A 20,889-nucleotide genomic window follows, 5' to 3' on the forward strand; every position below is an offset into this window, starting at 1 on the left:
CTTCTATTACCTTGGAGTCCCATAAATTGGCTTGATTTTGTTTCCGTAGTGCAAGGAGCTGAATAAAGCTTTTACTCAGTTCTTAAATAGTAAAGAACTAGCAAACATTGCGATACTTTAGAACTAAGTGGCCATTACAGATTAGTTAGCAGTTCATGTTTGTGTTATGGTTTGTTATGACTGCTTAATTCAAAAGCATATTTGCAGACAGGGAGTTTGGATTAAGTAAATCAAAATAGTAAAGGCTTTGATTAAGAAGTTAGCTTGCTTTAACTTAAATGTTGATATTTCAAGGCCTACTGATATTTTAGTCATTTGCGGTTATTTTTGTTTCCTGTTCAGACCCCTGGGAAATAAGAGAATAGTAAATCAAAGCCCAGGTTGCTTTTTGCATTTTTTTCCTTTTCATTTATGCCATGTAGTAGTTGACTTTAAGAAACTAAAGACATGGATAACTTGAACAGAATCACTGTGAGGGAGAATTGTATTTCTGGATTAATCAATTTAAATAATTCTTGTTATAAAATGATTCTTTTCATGTTTGATAATTTAGTAATTCTTTTTATTCCACGATAATGTTATCGTAACTAGTGGAAAAGCAGCTAAAAATATCTGCATTACTAAAGTCCAATTTGGGCAGTATTGTTATCAAACTGAGGCTATGTTGTTTGTGTCTAGGGATCGCTAGGGCGTTGCTTCATCAGCCAGAAACCTCTGTGACAGGTGGTGCCTTCTGCCTGAGTATTGCTAGTGCCCGTTTCTTTCCACCCACTCGGCTCAACAGGCTGCACTCGGCTCGTGCTGCCAGCCCAGAACCCACACCTGCCAAGTACGAGCAAGGCGTGGAGCGGTGAGGGGTGTGTGTGTGATTGAGTGCAGGGTCTAGCCACTGCACACAGCTGGGCACACTGGCTGCTGTGGTGGGGCAGGCAGCTCCAGGCAACAACACAGGTGCCAGCTCCATGTGAGGAGGCTGAGGCTGGAGCACATGTACTGCACGCGGCTTCTGCTATGGGCATCCGTGTCTGGATGAGGGGAACATGGTGGCACCCAGAAGCTTGGAGATGCCTGGAACCACTGAACCCCAAAGAGAGTGTCACAGCCCCCTGGCTCAGGGAGCCCCTGGGCCTGGGCTCCCCAAAGGGCCACAGCTCTTCTCCCCTTCTCATCGCCCACAACATGGCAAGCGGGAGGGTGTGTTTCAGCCCTGTTCGTGTTAACAGCTCTTTTAGTCCCACCATTTGATGTGTCCCGAGTTCTTGTTTCATACCCAGGAAGAATGAGGTATGCGGACAGCTGGAGGCTGAGCAAAGCGAAGAGGAGCTTCACTGATTGGCAGAACAGTTCTCAAGAGACCCAAAGTGGGCAGCTCCTTTCTGCAAGCAGGTCATCCTGACGAGTGTCCAGCTCTCAGTGGAGAGGAGACCCACAGTGGTTAGCTCCTTTCTCCAGGCAGGTCATCCCAACACGTGTCCAGCTTTCAGTGGAGAGGAGACCCACAGTGGGTAGCTCCTTCCCCCAGTCAGTAGTCCAGACATCTGTGCAGCCCTCAGTGGAGAGGTGACCTAGAACGGGTAGCTTCTATCGGCAAGCAGGTCGTCCCATCCTCTGCCTCAGTCTGGCTGAGTCCAGGGTCGTTATGCGCTTCAGAGGAGGGGAAGTATGTGCTAATTGGTCCATGGACGGCCATGGGTGGGCCTGGATAAAGCACCATAAGTTCTCACTCTGGTCCACGGAACTGACAGCCTGGCCCCCAGGATTTTGGCTGTCCCTGGCTTGAAGGTGGGGCTTCACCAGGTACCCTCCCCTTTCTGCCCAGGAGCTTGTCTGCCTCCTGCCGCCATCAGTCATGTTGTTCACGGTTCCCAGGCTGTTGCCGAAGGGCGCCTGCAGGCCCCTGTTGAGCTGCCCTCAATCTCCCACTCATGCTCTTTGGTGCCCAAGTCCAAAGGAGGCCAAGACGACAGGGGGCTGGCGTGTCAGTGCTGCCCTGAGCATGCACATACCCAGCCGGGTTGCGACAGTGCCTGGGCTTGGCCTGAACTTTGCTTCAAAATCAGAGCGAGTGCTGGGAGCATGGAGAGGCCAGGCAGCGACAGCAGGCACTTCCAAGCCTGTGGGGAGCAGAGGACCTACCAGGTCCCCGACTGTGCGCAGGGATGCCTGGGTCCATAGCTGCAGCTGCACCCCGGAGGGTGGGGCTTCTGCCCCTCAACTCGAAAGCGGGTGAGGCTCCCGCCTGTTCCCAGCTCCTGCGGGCTCCATGGAGTGGGCAGCCCCCGCCCCCACTGCAGCTGGTGTCATGGCAGCAGCCCTTCTGGACAGGCCAGCCACTGCCATCACATGTTTTCCCATTTTCTATTTTTGGTGATAGCAAATTCAAACTTCTTAATTTACTTTTCCTGAAAAAAGTTGCCTTTCAAGACTACACATTTTAATGAAGAGCCTTCAGTAATAAGCATTTCAGCATGTCTCAAAAAAGATTCAACTGTTGGTTATTTTAGCTAAAATGTCAAGGAATTTTGATTAACTTTAAAAGGATTTACCTTTTATATTTACATTTATTAATTTAATTTTTATCTTTAAAATGGAAGATTTGAAAAAAAATCTTAGCTTAGCTTGCAGCTTACCAGTTCTGGTGTAATTTTCAGTAATATAACATGGAGTATTCAATCATGAATTAGCCATTATTATTTAAATAATTCACGGTGTGACCTATACTGGGTTATCCCTACTGAAGCAAACAGCATGAATGGGTAAGTTTTATTTTCCTCAGTGTTCACTTACTCCATGTTGTCACGTGTCAGCACATTGAATTTTAAGAGATACAGTGGAGTCTAGGAAATGCAAAATGACACCTTGGGTGGAAAAACTTTTCAGATTGTTTTCAAATACTTACGCAGTGTTGCCAGAAATGTGTTAACTTAGAAATTTAACTAGTAAAACAGCATATATTTGTAATTCAAACAGTCAAAAAGCCCAGTAAGTAATTGCTTTAGGATTTTAATCGGGTATGTGTGTATGTGAACATATACATGCAGATGTGCACATGTGTTACTAATTTTATTCCCATAATCTTGTGACTATTATTCATTCATTCATTCATTCACACCACACATGCACTGAGGCCTTACTATGTTTTCATGTTGTACTAAGCACTGAAAACATAGTCTCTGCCCTCATGAAATTTGGAATAGTGGTAAAGATAGACAAATGAATGTTATGAAAAGAACTGAGAAATTTAATGGGAAAATTAAATAAAACTCAGAAAAACATCTATATTAAATCATGTTTTAGCTAAGATATGAAGGATAGGACTAATCTAGAGAAATGTGTTGGTATTGGGGGAAAGGTTTTAGGAAGAGAGAACACATATGGAAAATCTCTGAGACCCTGGAGTGCATAACATGTTTAAGGAACTGAAAAATCAGTGTGGCTTGAGTGAGTGGAGGACAGGTATTATTGAGGCTGGAAATATACAGAGAAAGCACACTATGGAGAAACAGGCCAGCCATGTTAGAGACGGAGGCTCCACTGATGAGTGTTAGCCAGGAACGTAACAGAAGTGCTTTAATAAAACAGGCAGCAGTGGCAGAGAGACCTTGATGGCTTCAAAAACTATTTAGGAGTAGGGGCCAGTCGGGCTGACTCATCCCTGTAATCCCAGCACTTTGGGAGGCAGAGGTGGGAGGATCACTTGAGGTCAGGAGTTCAAAACCAGCTTGGCAAATGTAGTAAAACCCCATCTCCACTAAAAATACAAAAATTAGCCAGGCATGCTGGTGCACACCTGTAGTCCCAGCTACTCGGGAGGCTGATGCAGGAGAATGACTTAAACCCGGCAGGCAGAGGTTGCAGTGAGCCGAGATCGCGCCACTGCACTCCAGCTGTCAGAGTGAGACTTCATGTCAAAAAAAAAAAAAAAAATCAGGAGTAGGAAAGATAATTTCTATCAATTAGATAATAAAAGAGAGAGGAGTCACTATCACTTCTCTGTTTCTCTTGTGTCTGCAATGATAAAAAAAAATACAGGGATACTGGAGAAAAGAACAGTAAGAGACAGCTAAAGAGAATCCCAGTAGTACCTGTACATATGAGTTGCACATTTGGTGGAATAGATGTTTAAGCTGGAGATAGAATTGTCAACATAGAGGAAGCAAAGCCCTAGGAATGGAAGGGATCTGCAGTGAGAGAGAAAAAGAGAGAGAGAGAGAGACTCTTTTCCATTAGTTTCCCATTCCATGACATACTTCCACCAGACATAAACTGTTCCTTCATGCCTTTATTCTACTTTAAATCATTTGATGTCAGTATGTCAATTAGCATTCACAGAATAAGATAAGGGAAACTTTTTTTAGTCTCATTTACATCTCACAACTAAATAGGCCAGATTTTGTAAGGGAATAAACTCAGAGGCTGCTGAGGGGTTGAATAACTTGTCTCTCTGACAGTGGTGGCCATGGCTTCTGCCACACTGCTTGTTTTGTGAAACAACCAAGTCTCCTGCCTACCTTTCTGACCTTTCATTCCACCTGTGCCTTGTAGAGTCCAATCACAAGTCATTTGCAGTTTCCTTTTTCTTTTCCTGTTCCTGTGTACATGCTCTTCTGCTCTGAGTTCACGTCTCTGTGTTTTTGGTGGCATAGGGAGGGTTAGGCAAACATGCTTTCTTTGTGAAGCCTTTTCTGACTCGACCTGAAATAATCAGTGGTTTCTCTTTTTCAAAATTTCTCTGTAACAAATAACATAGGACATTATTTTTCAGTTGGATGCCTGTCTCATGCCTTTCTCCTATTCTCAGAACCTGATTACCTTGCCCTACCCTGCCCAACCCCATTTTATATGTACTTTATGTGAGCTTTGGCAAGCAGGGACCACATTATACTTTTTATTTTTATTTCCATTGTATTTAGCAGAGTAATAGCATATGCTCAAAAAATGTTTGTTGAATTAAGTTGATAAAGAAGGAAGACATGGGCAAGAAACATAGTGTAAAAGGCAGGAAGGAAACTATGTGTTAAGAGACAGTGGTTTAGCCCCCCAAAAAGGTAGCAAGAGATAAGTCTAGAGAGGTGTCGGTGAAACTCGTCTGTGGTAAAATTTGTTGGGGCAAACAGTATTTATGAAACCCAATCCATAATACATAACATGGATAGAAAGAATGAGACTGAAAAAAAGGACTTGTTAAAAAAAATTTAAAAACCTTGGCAGCTGTCCCCTCTCCCCAAAACACACACATCCTCCCCACTCACGCCCCCACTTCTGCCTCCACCTCCATCTCTATCTCCATCCCCACCAGCTTAGCTTGACTTTTGGGAGCTAGAATCCCAAAGATCCCTTTCCCAGAGTGCTCTGCTCCAGACCTAGCAGCTGCAGGGAACTGTGGGTATTTTATGATTTTGGAGCCAGAGAAACAAGATGGTGAGTGACCTCCACAAACTGAGGGAAAATGTTTGGGCTTTGGCTGGGCTTCTTCTGAGCAGTAGTGCAGCCCTAATTCATTCTTCTCTTTTCCACACAATGACATCGAAGGTGTTTTGGCCTGCTATTCGTAACGACCCCTTCACACATGTTAGCCTGCGGAAAGAAGCTCTACTGAGCAGAGGCGATCAGCTTTCCCCAGGTGGATTTTGGGCCATGTTACCCAAAGAAAACTTCTGTTTTCTGTTTTGTGTCACTCTTCTCAGTAGCTTTGCTCTGTAGGCCAGCCCTGGAGGCCCCTTCTCTGCAGAGGGTTAGAGGCCTGTCCCCAGTCCCTCATCATCATATTTCAGGATGGCTGGAAGCAGTGGTTCCAAGGCCAAATTCATCATCAGTGGGAAATACAAACTGGTATGGAAGATCACATCTGGCTTTTTTGGGGACATTTATCAGGCAAAGAACATAACCAATAGTAAAGAAGTGGCGCTAGCATCCTTGAATTCTGGAAAGCTAGGTATTTCTCATTGCAGTCCCAGAGAAAACTTTTTAGATTCTTCAGGGCGGGTTAGTATTTCAACATGAGATGGTATGATTAGAGCAAAGACTGCAATGTGCTACTCTTGGATCTTCAGCCCTCAAGACCTCTTCATTTTCTTTTGGAGAAGGCTCCCAGTGAAAACCGTAGTTAGGTTAGCAGACCAGATGACTGGTAGAATTGCATATGTGCATGCAAAGAATTTGAGTCACAGTTTAAACCAGATAACTTCCTAATCAGTATTGAGTATTGCTATAGGAAGTTATTCCTTATTGATTTTGATTTGCTGAAAAAGTACAGAAACAATAGGATAAGGCAGCACATATCATAGAGGAGATAGTAATCTCTAGCACCACTTGCTAAGTTAGCATCAGTGCACATCTTGGTATTGATCAGAGTTTTAGAGATGACATGTTATCATCATGATACATGTAAATGTAATTTAATAGAACCAGCCTGCCATGGCAAAGATTAAAGTCTGCAACAAAGAACAGAAAAATGAAAATGTTAATGAGAGAATGATAAAATGAAAAGGAGTTGATGGAAGGTATCTACTCCTGTTGAAATTTTGTATAAGGGGTTTTCTGCAGAATTTGCAGTAAACTATTGTTATGGATCACACATTAAGGAAGCCTTGAGACAGCTATTCCACAATATTTTCTGGACCCTGAACTGCTGATATTAAATACATATTTGGTTGAATATTGTTAAAGCAGAAAACAGTACAGAAGGCAGCCTCTTCCCATGGAGTTAGCATGCCCAAACTCTCACAGGTTTCCATGCATGAAGGGAGGAACAGAAGAAGCAGAATAGATAATCAGAGTAACATTTGTATATCGCCAAATCCAGAATTTTTAGTTCATATGTCGCATTGCCAGTGTTGTGAACAACCATTTCCCAGGTAAAAATAACGTAGGAATAAAATGGCTCTGGGCAGCATTGCTGATATAACCAAGTTGTGGCCTCTGTAATTATGTATATTAACTGAAGTTGTTAAACATGCTTTCAATTTTTATAGCACCTTTTTCAGTGGAAAACTTAACTAAATAATTGGCATATACCAATTTGTGTTGAGAGTTTTTCCATGCCTGTGTGTGTGTGTGTGTATGTGTGTGTGTGAAAACCTATTATTTTGAACTCTACTGCTTTGAGAAGGGCCATATGGTTGTATATGCACAAAATTGCGCATTCTTAAAGTTTTTTCATACGTAAGGCTTGCAAGTTGTTTACTTAAAACATTAAAATGGTTGGCATCTTGCTTAAGGCAGCTGATAAAGTAGCAACGAAAGAGTCCGGTTTTTGAACATATGAAAATTCTGTTTGTTATACTATGAATAGCAGCATCTAAAGTGAAGAAGTAAGAAATACTCTGTGGTAACTAGATTATCCTTAGTACTCTGAATGAACTCTTTAACGACCCTTGAATTAAAAAATATTTGTTACAGAAATTGAAAGCTAAACGTGAATGTTCATGTTCATGCTCAAATAAATGTAATTATTATGAACACCTACATGATTTGGGATTTTGGTTTTATTTTGAAATGAGAGCTCTTTCATTTACAAGTTCACTAAAAACTCAAATGTTTCTTGAAAATCACAGGAGCTTATGAACATTAAAAAGAAGGAATAACTATTGAACAAATAAGACAGACACTGTCAAGAACGGGCAGGACTTTGCAAGGTGATAATTAAGACTAGTTAATATTTATGTGGAAAAGTTCTGACTGGGCATTTGGAACATAATAATATGAACAATATAATATAATAAATATAGCATACATTTGCATTTATTTGCAACCTCAGACAAGCAAGATGAGTCCAAATAAAGCTAGCTTCATCGTAGTCCTTTCTTACATGTGTCACAAGGTCTTGAGATCAGTTTAAAAAACATGTTTTATTTACAACTAATGTGAATACTAATATTTGCTGTCATCAGATTCCTTCGAAAATAACATATGCATCACTGGCCACCTGTTCTAAGTAATTTTTGAGGAATTTGCATGTTCCCAGACAAGGAATGTTGTGAACAGAGATGATTCTATTTATCCACTGTTAAAAATGGCAGTTAATTTTTCCTTGTAAGTTGATTTCTAATTATGATAATATGGCAGCTATGGACAATGCCCTTTCTTAAACATACTGGGATGTAAAAGTGACCATAACTTGTTGAAACTCAGTCCTGGTATTGTGTTACTATTATTTCTCCTGGGGAGGCTTATTAGCCTGTCACAAAAGATGTAAGAAAAATCCAACATTCCTTTTGGAATATGATGAGCCTTTGTCACCCACAATGCAATTAATGTTAAAAATAGAAAGAATGGCTATGATATGATTATGATTAGGCAGAGATGAGCTATTGTCCAAGTAACAGGAACTAATCTAGCAGGCCAAAGATGACCTACACAGAACCATCAGTGTGCTGATTGCCATTTCTCTCTGAGTTTGATGAAATATTCATGCCTTTGCTCTCCTCTCTGCAAGCACTATTGATTTCTTGTATAAACGCTGCTATATTTAGTCTAGACAAATGGAATGTGGATTGCTGCTGAATAAATTGGATGAAAGACTGGGATCTTGCCTGCCACTTTCTCTCAGTCTTGGGCAATTATTTATAATCAAGAGCAGTTTTTGTAAGTTGAGGGTGATTTTTCACAATTTAGTGATTAGTCTCTGAACAAAGGCAAGCAGTTAGACGCAATCATTTCTGTTGGGATAGCAGGTTAAGAAGTCAAATTACCCTTTGAGGTTTACAATAACTGTTTCAGAGACTTGTAGGACTTTTTTTCTTATCTTTTTAAAAAAGCTTTTTTAGAGGTTTGATGTTTGTAGTTCATGGATAACAAGAATGCCAGCAAGAAGAGACTCCAGGGTCTCTTGAATTTTTACATTTTGTCTTTATAGGGTTAAGTTCTGACCTTTGTTTTTTGAGATTTCCATGTAAAAGCTGAAGGCTATAGCTTGGCCTTTTTAATGTAAAAATGAAATATATCATTAACTGCCATTGCTTTTGGTTGGAATTATGCCAAGTCTTTTAGTTAATATTCAAAATCTCATGTTACTCCAGAGCCTTGACTAAAAGTTCTACATTGGGTGCTACAATTAAGAGATCTTACAGGCCATCATTCTAATTTGCATCTGAACTTGTCATGATTAATTTCTTTCCTTTCACAAATATCATCTTTGAGAAGTCAATGTCCACCAAACTATAGTTCATTTATAAATTATTTTCCCATTTTCATTAAAGTGACACATAAAGTACCATCAATGCAAACTTCTGGTCAATCCATGGCAAAATAACCAATGTAAGCAACCCAAGATTGATATCAGTCTGCATGCACAGGCACAGGCACATGCACATGGACATTCAACTCAGATGACCAGCAAGGACATTTAAGTATATGAAGCCTTAACATCTGTAGACAGGATTTCTGTTAGCCTTTTTTTACTCACTGAAAATAACTCTTAAATTCACATGGAAAATTAACTTTGTAGTTCCCAAACTGGAATCTGCAAATTTAAGTTAGTTACTTATAGTAATAGAGCATTAGATGCAATTTGGAAAAATACAGAAAAGTAAAGGGAGAATCATTCATATTTCCGTCTAAAATACAGCCATCTTCTGTTCTCTACATCACCAGTCATTGCTATTAGAATTTAAAAACTAATATGATTTAAAAACCGTGGTAGAATATGTGCTCGATAAGGGCTGGAATTTTTGTCTTTCTTTAAAATACCAAACCCCAACATCTAGAATGAAGCCTGGGACTTTAAGAGGCTTGATAAATCTATTTTGACTACATTGCTTATATATATATATATTTTTTAAATGGTTATCATAGTGTAAATATCACTTTTTTCACTTAATGTGACAACTTTTTTAATGTTCCCACAAACATTATTTTTAATGAATGCGTAGCTTTTCTACCAAATGGATGCGACATATTTTGCTGAGACATTTCCTTGTAGTTGGTGATTTCAATAACAATACTAGAACTCTAGTAAATAATACGACATTGAACTGTTTTTTTCCCTATTCAGTATTGTCTCCTGGAGATATAATCCTAGAGTTGGCAAACCTGAATCAAATGGTAGAAATATGTAACACTTCTTGATACGTATTACCAAATTGGTTTTGCATAAGTTTTGTACCAATTGACAGCTCCACTTGCCATAAATAATCGTCTCTTTGGTCATACGCTTAGCCTATACAATGGGGCATTGTACACATATATGTATACACGTGGGTCATATATATGATAATAATCAATGATGCTCTATTTTGATTCATAATTTGCAATTCTTTACTAGTGAAGGTGATTTTCAGTTGTTGCATTCTTTTATTTGTTTTGATCTAGATGTTTTAGTATTTTTATTTTCTAATGTTTAGTAGAAATTGTGTGCCATTTTATTTTTATATTTGTTTCTAATATGTTTGTTTTGTTAGCTACTTACTATTGATGGTTTATTTTAATATATAAGAAATTTCCATTTCATATAATAAAAAAGCAAAAACAAACATCTGTTAAGGGCTGTGCTACATGCTATTAGTACTTACTGTTACTATCTCCAAGTTACGGATGAGGGAACAGAGGCCTAGGGAAATTAATAACATCTTCAATGTTACACACATGAAAGAGTCAAATAAGCATTTAGATTATAGAACAGAATTTGAAAACTGGTACATGTAAAGACTGAAGCATTTTGTTTGGTTCCTGGAGTATTTAAAGCTTTTGAAGAGCCTGGTGCTGTGACTCATGCCTATAATCTCAGAACTTGGGAGCTCAGGCAGGAGGATCACTTGAGGTCAGGAATTCAAGACCAGCCTTCGCGACATAGCAAGATAATACCCCAGCTCCCACTGCCCTGACCCCAGCTATAAAAAAAAAAAAAAGAAAGAAAAATTTAGCTGGTCATGGTGATATGCACCTAAAGTCCCAGATACTTGGGAGGCTGAGGCAGAAGGATCCCTTGAGCCAGGAAGTTCTAGACTGCAGTGAGCTATGATTGCACCACTGCACTACAGCCTGGACGAAAAAGTGAGCCCTCCAGCAGCCTAAAAAATCTTTCAGTTTAATTTTCAGTTAACAGTTATTTCTGTCTACACTGGATCTGTATTTTCTTTTTCTCCCACAACTCCCACAAATAGTTGGTTTTATCTGAGTAGTGACTGGCCTCTTTTGAAAAGCCATGCAATCCAGTTTGCCACAGTTTCCCCTCCAAAATTCCTGTTGTCTTTAGCTTAACCTTTTACACTGAACTACAGAATTTTCCCGATTCTTGTGGGTAAGGGTCATACTCAAAATATTTAACAACCAGTTTGGCATGGATGCTGGTCATTCAAAATGTCAGAATGGACACCAACAATAAATAAATGGTACACCTGGATATCCTGTCTGTGAGTTTTCCTGCTTAAACTATTCCTTTAGAAAGCAGCATTCTTTTTTTTTTTTTTTTTTTTGAGACAGTCTCGCTCTGTCACCCAGGCTGGAGTGCAGTAGCGAGATCTCGGCTCACTGCAAGCTCCGCCTCCCAGGTTCACGCCATTCTCCTGCCTCAGCTGGGACTACAGGCACCCGCCACCACACCCGGCTAATTTTTTGTATTTTTAGTAGAGAAGGGGTTTCACCGTGTTGGCCAGGATGGTCTCGATCTCCTGACCTCGTGATCTGCCTGCCTTGGCCTCCCAAAGTGCTGTGATTACAGGCGTGAGCCACCGCGCCGGGCCCTGAAAGCAGCATTCTTATCTACTAAGAGTTTTTGCTAAGAATTTTATATCTATTATCTAATTTAATTTGTATAAATTTAAATATTATCATCTGTAGTTATTCTCAGATCATCAAATCTTTTTTACTCCAGTGGTTTGATTAAATACTTGTTTTAAGTTTCCTCATACTTTTTCCACCTTGTTTATTTTAGGAATGAGGTAGCTGAGATACAGATTATTACCAATTCAACATCAGGACTTAGAAACTTGGCTACTTTCACTCCTTGTTGTTTGGATCTGGCACCATTGCTGTGGTTAATTACCATTTTCCACATTTTAGCATGCAGTTGTCTATTCTGTCTTTGGTACATCCAATAGTGCTGCAAATACGTTATATTACAACCTTTACTTTGTAAAGTTGAAGATATCTTCTGACGCTGATTACAAAGGAAGATGTTCTTAAGTGTACAAATGTAGTCATGGTGGAAGTTCTCTCTTAGGGCATCTTTTCCTCAACATAATTCCATTTTTTTTTTTGTCCTCGTTGACTTGATTTTTGTTAGTGGTTCAGTAGAATAAGTTTTATGAATGACTGATACCAGTAAACAATTGAAGTCACCTGTTTGTAAAAGGAAATTGTGGAGGATTCATGGCAGAGTGCAAATTGCTGAATGAAAATTAGCCTATGGCCCATTTATCAAAACTAATGTACAAATGACTTTATATCATCATTGTAAAGAAATGGCTAGAGTCATTGGCATAAAATTTGTTGTACAGGGTCTTATACTTTTTATTTGTTTCCAAATCAATGTGCTAATTTCCAATCTTCTATTACCCTCCCCCACCCCATTTCCCTTTTTTTCTGGTTCTTTAGTGGATGTGAAGTCAGAAGTTCCTGTGGGCCTGGAGCCCATCTCACCTTTAGACCTAAGGACAGACCTCAGGATGATGATGCCCGTGGTGGACCCTGTTGTCCGTGAGAAGCAATTGCAGCAGGAATTACTTCTTATCCAGCAGCAGCAACAAATCCAGAAGCAGCTTCTGATAGCAGAGTTTCAGAAACAGCATGAGAACTTGACACGGCAGCACCAGGCTCAGCTTCAGGAGCATATCAAGGTAGCAAATGCTTCTTTGTCTGTGACCTTACTCAGGAGTCTGCACCGTGGTGGGCATGAACAGTGCCCATGGGAACACTTTGCGGGTAGATTCACTGTGATTAAGACATGGATATATGGCTTGAAGGGAATTGTGATTTTACTAGTGAAAACTTTGGGTAAGTACCTGTTAAAAACCTGTTTTGCTTCTCAGAGGGACCTTCTTTATCCTTTAGCACATAGAATCAATAGCAGGGAATAGTAACTTCCTATCCTAATTTTAGATTCTCTCCTACGTGATTTTGTTCATTTGCCCCATCTGCTCTCCACCAAGAAGAAGCATGAGCCTAGAAGACCCATTTCATATTTCATTTCTGAAGAGTCTACATGTACTATTTGTGAGAAAGGATAAATTAGTCACCTTATATGAAGAGAGCTGTTTTTAAAAAACAAACATGGTGTATAAGTAGATGTTCTGAGTATGTCCGACTCTTCCTTATAGAAAAGATCTCATAATGTACACATTCAAAATAATAGTATAATAAAAAGCTTAAGGGAGTTATAAATGGAGAAACTGGTGCAAATGTTTTTATAGACTGTAGATAAGAATTTATTGAAAGTATTTGGGAGTAGTTGACAATTTGAGACTAAAGTTGTTTAAATTATTTTAGCACAAATATATCCATATTCCAGAATTTTTAATAATAACTTATTTTATTATCTAATAATATTAGATGTGTCTGTTTTTTTAAATTTTGTATCTTCAGAGATAAATATTACTTTAGCTTTATTTGTAAAACATCTTGCAACTTCTTGACAAAGACAGTTGAAACAAGGCTATTTAATTTGAATTTATTGTGACAGAAAAGCAGCAAAGATTTACAACAAAAATTTTATTTTTATATCTAACTTTCAAAGATGACAAACACTTGCTAATTTGTGAATGTAATAAATTATGTTATCTCATACTTTATTGTTTTGTATTATAGGAACTTTATTACTTGCATATCAAGTACAAGCACATTGATAGAGGGTTGATACAGATAACTGATGTTACTAGTATGTAATTTTACCACATTAATATGACAGTTTCTAAGGAAGTAAAAATGCTATCTTCTTCTCTATATTACTTGGTTTACAAGATGTTTCTTAATCCTAAAAGAACTTTATTATCGTATATTCCTAAAAAGGCTCTTTGACAAGTGATATAAAATATATTTATTTCTTTTAGTAGTGAACTTTCCAAAAAGAACTCTTGTATATTATTGATGTACAAAATACCTTAAAGTGAGAGTATTTTCTTTTGTCCCAAATGGAATCAGTAGCTCATGGCTACATTTTGAAGTATGGGTAGCCTTTCTTTAGTTTTTAGACTTATTTTTGAATGAATACTGAAGCTTTATTTAAATTTGACCTTTGAAACAATAATAGAAACATTGATATCTAGATCTGTTTCTTTCCTTCCAGCATGTTAAGATGGCAAAGAGAAATGAGTAAAATGTACATTTTTCACCATACTTTAAGATGTAAGGGACTGTGTAGTTCATTTTGCTGCTTTAAGTGAGACATGTTTCCCTAAATACAGGGCAATACTGATAAGTTACTGCTTTAGATACTTCTTTTCATTTATATTGCTGCCTTTGATAGCTATAAAGTTAATATAAATTGTTTAGAAAGAAATTTATTGCTTAATTTTACTCAAAAGGTAATAGTAGCAAGTAGATAATTAATTGTTCATTTGGCACAAGCAAAACAATAGTGTTGGTTTATTGACATCTGGAAAATATTGGAAAAGTGGCTCCTGTGAGAAAAAAGAATTATGAGATAGCTAAAAGGAAAATTTAGCTTTTAAAATGATTTTCCAAAATAATAATTTGTTTTCTTAGAAACCAAAGACATAATTAATATTACTTTTTCAGATTAGGAAGTTTTTTGATTTTTAGAATTTTTATTTTGTTTTGTCTTGTATTTTTTATGGATAAAGCTAAAAGTTGATGCTTTTCATTAAGATTTTATTTTTATGAGAAAGATGCATTACATGATGCTTTATTTATATTAGCTTTTTGAATCGTTAGCTTCTGTAATAATCAACATTTGTTGAGTTAGATGCTGTTATTCCATTTTTCCACCTAGTGAACTGAGGTAGAGAAAAATAATGATACCTTTCCAAGGCTACATAGCCAATAAATTGTTGCTCCAAGATTTACAGTCTTGCCCTGTCTGCCTCCAAAGCTCTTAAGTTGCCCTGCCTCTCTCATGGGCCAGAACATCTAGCAATAGAGGGCTAAAGTTTTATTTCTTTCTATTGTTTTAAACCTCATTCATGCAATCTTTGATAATGAATAGTAGTGGTAATTAAATTGTGTGCTTTTCTAGATTCCTATGAAAGATTAAAGTTCAAATACATTGGGGCTTTGGGTGAAGCACCAAATTAATTTGACCAACCCAAGTATCTATATAGAATTTAACAGTAAGGCAGAATTTAAGCATTCCTTCTGCTACCATGGAATATTATTTCATTACAATGGAATAATAACACCCATTAAGGGAGTGTATTGAAGCCAAAACACCAAAGATTTTAATATGAAGAGTAACCAGAAATGCTTCTAACTATGTCCTTCTGGGAGTAATAAGGCTATTATGGTTGATATACAGAGTTAGCTTCCTGTTGCTCCAGAGTGACTCTGATGCCATTCCATATAATAGCTTTTTATTTTTGTTCTATTACTTTTTGGTGTAAAATCAAGAGTTTTAGGCACCTAATGTAAAAAACAAAATTTACTAATTTCATTAGTATTGAAAGTTACAAACACATGTTGGGTATCCCTTATCTGAAATGCCCGGGACCAGAAATATATCAGATTTTGGATTTTTTTTTCTGGATTTTGGAATATTTACATATCTGTACATAATGAGAGTCTTGGAGATGGGACTCAAGTCAAAAATATAAAATTCATTTATATTTCATATACACCTTATACACATAGCCTGAAGGTAATTTTATACAATATTTCCAATAGTTTTGTGCTTCAAACAAAGTTTGGGTACATTGAACCATCAGAAAGGAAAGGTGTCATTGTCTCAGCCACCCATGTGGACAATCTCTGGTTGTTTGGCATCACTGTTGTTGCTGAGTCTGAATGTGAGGAACATGCCATTGGCATGTCTTGCCCACACACACACCATTTTGTTATCTTTTGTGGGTGTGCTTATGTGGGGGAATCTGGGCGTGTGTGAAAAAAATATATTGCAGCTGAAAGGGGGCTGGAAGGGTCTTTTTTCCCATGGTGAAGCTGACTAAACTTTGTGCTGTGTGCCTGCATTTTGACTGGAACTCATCACATGAGGTCAGGTATGGAATTCTCCACTTGTGGCATCATGTCAGTGCTCAAACTATTTCAGATGCTGGAGCATTTAGGATTTTGGATTTTCAGATTAGGGATGCCCAACCTATAATAATAATAATTAAAATCAGTAGGGTTCAAACTTAAAAACTAAATTTTATGTACGTTATGAATATGCGGCTGAAGAGAGATATTCTCTCTCTTACATATGAGGAAGTATGGCTCCGAGTAGTTTAGTAACTTGTCCGGATTTCATATCTACTAATGTCAGAACCTAAGGAGAACTCAAGGTCTTTAGTTACTCCTCAGTGTGCACATTTACTATAGTTCATAGATATATATTTCTCAGTCTGAGTGGAAATAGACATCTCAAGATGGCTATTAAAAAAGAATGCTTCAGGCTGGGCAAGGTGGCTCACACCCGTAATCCCGGCAGTTAGAGAGGCCAAGGTTGGAGCATCACTTGAGGCCAGGAGTTTGAGACTAGCCTGGGGAACATGGCAAGACTTTGTCTCCACTAAAAATGATAATTTTAAAAAATTAGCCAGGAGTGGTTGTATATGCCTGTAATCCTAGCAACTTAAGAGGCTAAGGTGGGAGTATCGCTTGAGCCCAGGAGATTGAGGCTGCAGTGAGCTATAATGGTGCCACTGCAATCCAGCCTGGGCAACAGAGTGAGACCCTGTCTCAAGAATAAAAATAAAAATAAAAAAGAGTGCAAGAATGCATCATATTCATGTCATTCATTGTTTGAGAGTGAATTCAAGGGATTCAGAAAGCTAAACAATAGTGCATTAAAATGAAGTTTTGTGGAAGTGGTTTCTTCTTGACCAGTGTCTTTAATCTAAAAGCTTTTATGTGCTGAATGAAAGAATAAAGCTTCTGCTATTTTGATATTTTGAGAGACTATATGTATATAATATATTCTACATATTATGAATATATACATTGCATTAGTCTATTGAGAACTTGCTCTGTAAGATTTTGAAATTTTTAGCATTTGTTTACTTCAGGTAAACTTCCCCCAAATTAATTTAATATCTCACCATTCTGTATTTGCGTTGATTATTTTTACACCATTTTTTAGGCTAAGAATGGAAGATTTCAGTTGTTCATTTATAATGTGAGGGACTTTGTAAAATAGGCTTCTGGGCAGTCCCTACCTTTTCCTGTTTGTATGTTCAAAGAAAAGTCATTAAGGGAACTAAAGATTTAATTAAAGGAAATGGGAAGACCTGAGTGAATTTAACAGTTAGTTTTGATAGGGATGCACAGATAATGGAGCTACCTAAAACTTGCCTGTTGATGACGTTAAGACCTTCACTGCATTAGTTGCTTGTCCTTAGATTTCAATGATTTACAGAAAAAGTGGGTACAAATATGAACTAAATACAAACAAGTTCCAAAAGCTCATAACATTTCAGTTTTGGTCAGTGATGACTATGAAGCCTAAAGAAATTGCACACTCTCATGTCTTTCTCTTCTCGCAAGTTGCAACAGGAACTTCTAGCCATAAAACAGCAACAAGAACTCCTAGAAAAGGAGCAGAAACTGGAGCAGCAGAGGCAAGAACAGGAAGTAGAGAGGCATCGCAGAGAACAGCAGCTTCCTCCTCTCAGAGGCAAAGATAGAGGACGAGAAAGTAAGAGGCACCAGGGTAAACGATGGACTCTCTTTCCTCATCGTTAGCTGATCATTATTCAGAACAAAGCCTGATAAAGAGTGCGGTTAGACTCGTCAAAATTATCTGTGTTTAATTAAAAGCATAGATTACAGACCCAACTGTAAAGTTTTGACATTTACATACCAGCTCACATCATTGAGTCTGCAGAGCGTCTCAAGAAGCAAACGTAACATTATCTGGCAAAGGTGCTGATTTCTGTTGTTTTGAACCTTAAAAATAATGTAATTCTAAAGCAGTCTAATATATGCCATCTTGTTTAATAATCAGCTTGTATCCACATCTCCTGACTATGCCTTCCTTACTCCTGGCCAAGTAATAATTGCTCTCTAAGTAAAGCCTTGCCTCCATTTAGTTTTGGCATACTCAAACTTTGAGAAGATTTAAGACATAACACATGCAAAAGAACTATCCACAAGAGGGAGACAGATCCAAATAATTCCCCTGTATTAGGTCAGTTCAAAATCAGGTCGTAGCAAAGTTTAAAATTTGATGACTTGAACTGGAATTGTCAGCAATATTTATTTGTTTAATGCTCAAAGGGTTTTTTTAAAAACTAAGGTTTTCAAACTAGCAACTCAGAAAAGATTATTTTAATGTGTTTAAGGGATTTAATATGGATCTAATCCCTCAAGATAACTTGATTATTAAAATACAGTGTTTTGTTCCTCTGCAGTATTTTTTAAACTTAAAAAAGTTGATTTTGGGAATTCCCTCTTTGCAAAAGTAATTAAAGAAATAGCTGAAAGTCTTTTGAAAATTTGCAATTTAAGTAGTATTTATAAAGCATTACTGTACTATTTTCTAAAGCATATTTGGACTGTGGTTTCTTCTTTTAATAGGAAAACTTTATGTGCTGTGACCAGCGATTTTACTTCTTAATCTTTGTCAAATATTCTAGAGGCATGAGAGGACAAAACTCACCATCAACATCTGTTTCTGTGTGTGTATGTGTGTGTGTGTGTGTGTGTGTGTGTGTGTGTATTTCAGGGGCAGTGGCAAGTACAGAAGTAAAGCAGAAGCTTCAAGAGTTCCTACTGAGTAAATCAGCAACGAAAGACACTCCAACTAATGGAAAAAATCATTCCGTGAGCCGCCATCCCAAGCTCTGGTACACGTATGTTCAGTGTTTGGCTGTTTTCATTCCTGGGGTAAAGAACACAGGTTCTGTATTTAGCCGACCTGGGTACACATCCTTAGCCTGCCATTTCTCAGCTGTCTGGCTGTGGGCAAGTTCCTTCAGTTCTCTAAGGATCAGTTTCCTTCTCCATAAAAAGAGGAAAATAATAGTGCATGCCCTCTAGGGTTGCTGGCACGGTCCTATAAAATAACATGGTAAGGTACATAACAGAGAGAAGTGCTAAATAAATGGTAGCATTTATCAACTTGAGGGCAAGGAAGTATATATGTTCTTTGATGAATGAATAACTGACAAATGTGAGGTGGGCAAAGAAATTTGTATTTTGCATTTTTCCATTCTCAACTGGTGCATTTGGTATCTATATAGTAATTTCAAAAGGTTTAGCAGATTGTGATTTTATTACACTTGACTTGGTGTAAGATGGAGGTCAGAGCTATTTTCAAAAATCTAGTAGAATTTTGTCTCAAATGAAGAAAAAAGGAAGGAAGAAAGGAAGATAAGGGAGGGTAGGGAAGGGAAGTTGAGAGGTTGCTAAATAAATAACTCTAAGTCTTCAGTGAATAGTTTACCCCTGCCCACCTCACTTCATTTCTTCCCAGACAGCAAAATAATAGCTTGGCTCCTGACACACAACCTGACAACATAATACACTGTGGTATTGTGGTTTTTATAGAACTGTATTTCTGTAAGTCCAATACACAAATATTTCAATAAAATATAGAGGATGTGGTGATTTTAAAACTCAGGGCAAAGAACTGATAGGCAAATCATATATGGATAATAAACTAATAGATAATAGTTTCATTTCTTTCTTAGAAGTGTTTGCCAAATGACCATATATTTTTACACTTATATATTTTTCAATCCCTCACACCATTAAAGATAGGAATAGTACTTGATTACTCTGTTATATTAATATTGTAAGCAGCCTGGGAGTTCTATTTAAAGAGTTAATGTACTTATAAGGCTATTTTATAGGTATCCGCCCTTCTCTGCATCCCAAAACAGGTAACAGACAGATACCATAATGTTTTATAAATACTTTTTAATGATTTTCATAATTTCTGTCATGTATATCAGTTGACATGAAAAACAAATCTCTGAAAAACAATTTCAAATATTCAATCAATATCACGAATGATTTAAAAAGAAACACGATTTTGTTACCTAAAACTACACACATAATTTATAGCTAATTCATAATTCAAAATTAAAGTCTGTTCTAAGAAAAGATAATAGCATTAAATGAGAAACAGCTACATGCAAAGAATTTGTCGGTTAAAGTTCATTAGCTGTTCTCTTAGGTAATATTAAGCATAGCTCTCACATGTTACTTAGCAGTATTTACCTTGTTTTTATGAAATTGAACTTCAGTAGAGTCCAACTGCAGATAACCACAAACGATTAATTTATAGAATCTGAATTTAATGCCATTTTTGCCAGTTATAGCTAGAAGAAATATCCTTAAACCAATAAAGTCTTAAGAATATATGATTTAAATAAATAATACTGGTAGAACAATCATTGTGATGGTGATACTATGTCCTGTTCATTGTTTTCATTACATATGTAATTATAGATATTTATATCTACTAGATAGTCAATATTCAGTCCTATAAACTATTCTCCAGCAGCACAGTTGCATCTCTTAGATTGTATTCACCCAGGAAAAAGAAAACATTTAAAAAAATTGGTTTCATATTAAAGAATGTGATCCCCATTCTTTACTACTGAAACTGCCCCAGAAGTCAGGAGATGGGAGTCCGTTGGCACAATCCTGTCTTTTCAGTAAAAAAGGCTACTCTCATGTACTCACATGTACTATCTAGCAATTTTTTAAAATGAAGTCCTTGCGTATGTTTACTATTACCTTGATTGTTTTATACTGTTGACTAGAAAGGATTGAGATGATGACTTTTCCCCTAGGGTGGCTCTTAAGAGAACATAGGCAGTAATCTCAAATTGTCAA

General features: G+C 37.6%; 1 protein-coding gene and 1 pseudogene across 39 annotated transcripts in view, besides 2 other annotated features; both read left to right on the top strand.

Annotated features, from left to right (window-relative positions):
* Positions 1–20,889, top strand: part of HDAC9 (histone deacetylase 9) — a 915,592-nt gene that overhangs the window by 485,922 nt on the left and 408,781 nt on the right. For 13 of the 39 annotated variants that reach the window (NM_001321869.2, NM_001321872.2, NM_001321896.2 and 10 more), the window contains 3 exons: positions 12,535–12,776; positions 17,590–17,740; positions 18,770–18,896. In NM_001321869.2, coding sequence (NP_001308798.1) covers positions 12,535–12,776; positions 17,590–17,740; positions 18,770–18,896 — 520 coding nt within the window. Of the gene's footprint in view, positions 1–12,534; positions 12,777–17,589; positions 17,756–18,769; positions 18,897–20,889 lie in introns of all 39 variants that reach the window. The other 26 variants (NM_001321868.2, NM_001204144.3, NM_001321870.2 and 23 more) reach the window with 5 other exon arrangements.
* Positions 947–1,485: an enhancer, noted in NCBI's record as "H3K27ac-H3K4me1 hESC enhancer chr7:18613316-18613854 (GRCh37/hg19 assembly coordinates)". NCBI's record gives its function as "activates a minimal SCP1, AML or CMV promoter by ChIP-STARR-seq in primed H9 embryonic stem cells {active_cell/tissue: H9 hESC(primed)}" and the evidence as "EXISTENCE:reporter gene assay evidence [ECO:0000049][PMID:30033119]".
* Positions 1,486–2,024: an enhancer, noted in NCBI's record as "H3K27ac-H3K4me1 hESC enhancer chr7:18613855-18614393 (GRCh37/hg19 assembly coordinates)". NCBI's record gives its function as "activates a minimal SCP1, AML or CMV promoter by ChIP-STARR-seq in primed H9 embryonic stem cells {active_cell/tissue: H9 hESC(primed)}" and the evidence as "EXISTENCE:reporter gene assay evidence [ECO:0000049][PMID:30033119]".
* Positions 5,915–6,570, top strand: LOC100419901 (casein kinase 1 alpha 1 pseudogene; annotated as a pseudogene).

The sequence above is a fragment of the Homo sapiens genome, chromosome 7 (genome assembly GCF_000001405.40).
Source record: "Homo sapiens chromosome 7, GRCh38.p14 Primary Assembly".
Taxonomy (NCBI): domain Eukaryota; kingdom Metazoa; phylum Chordata; class Mammalia; order Primates; family Hominidae; genus Homo; species Homo sapiens.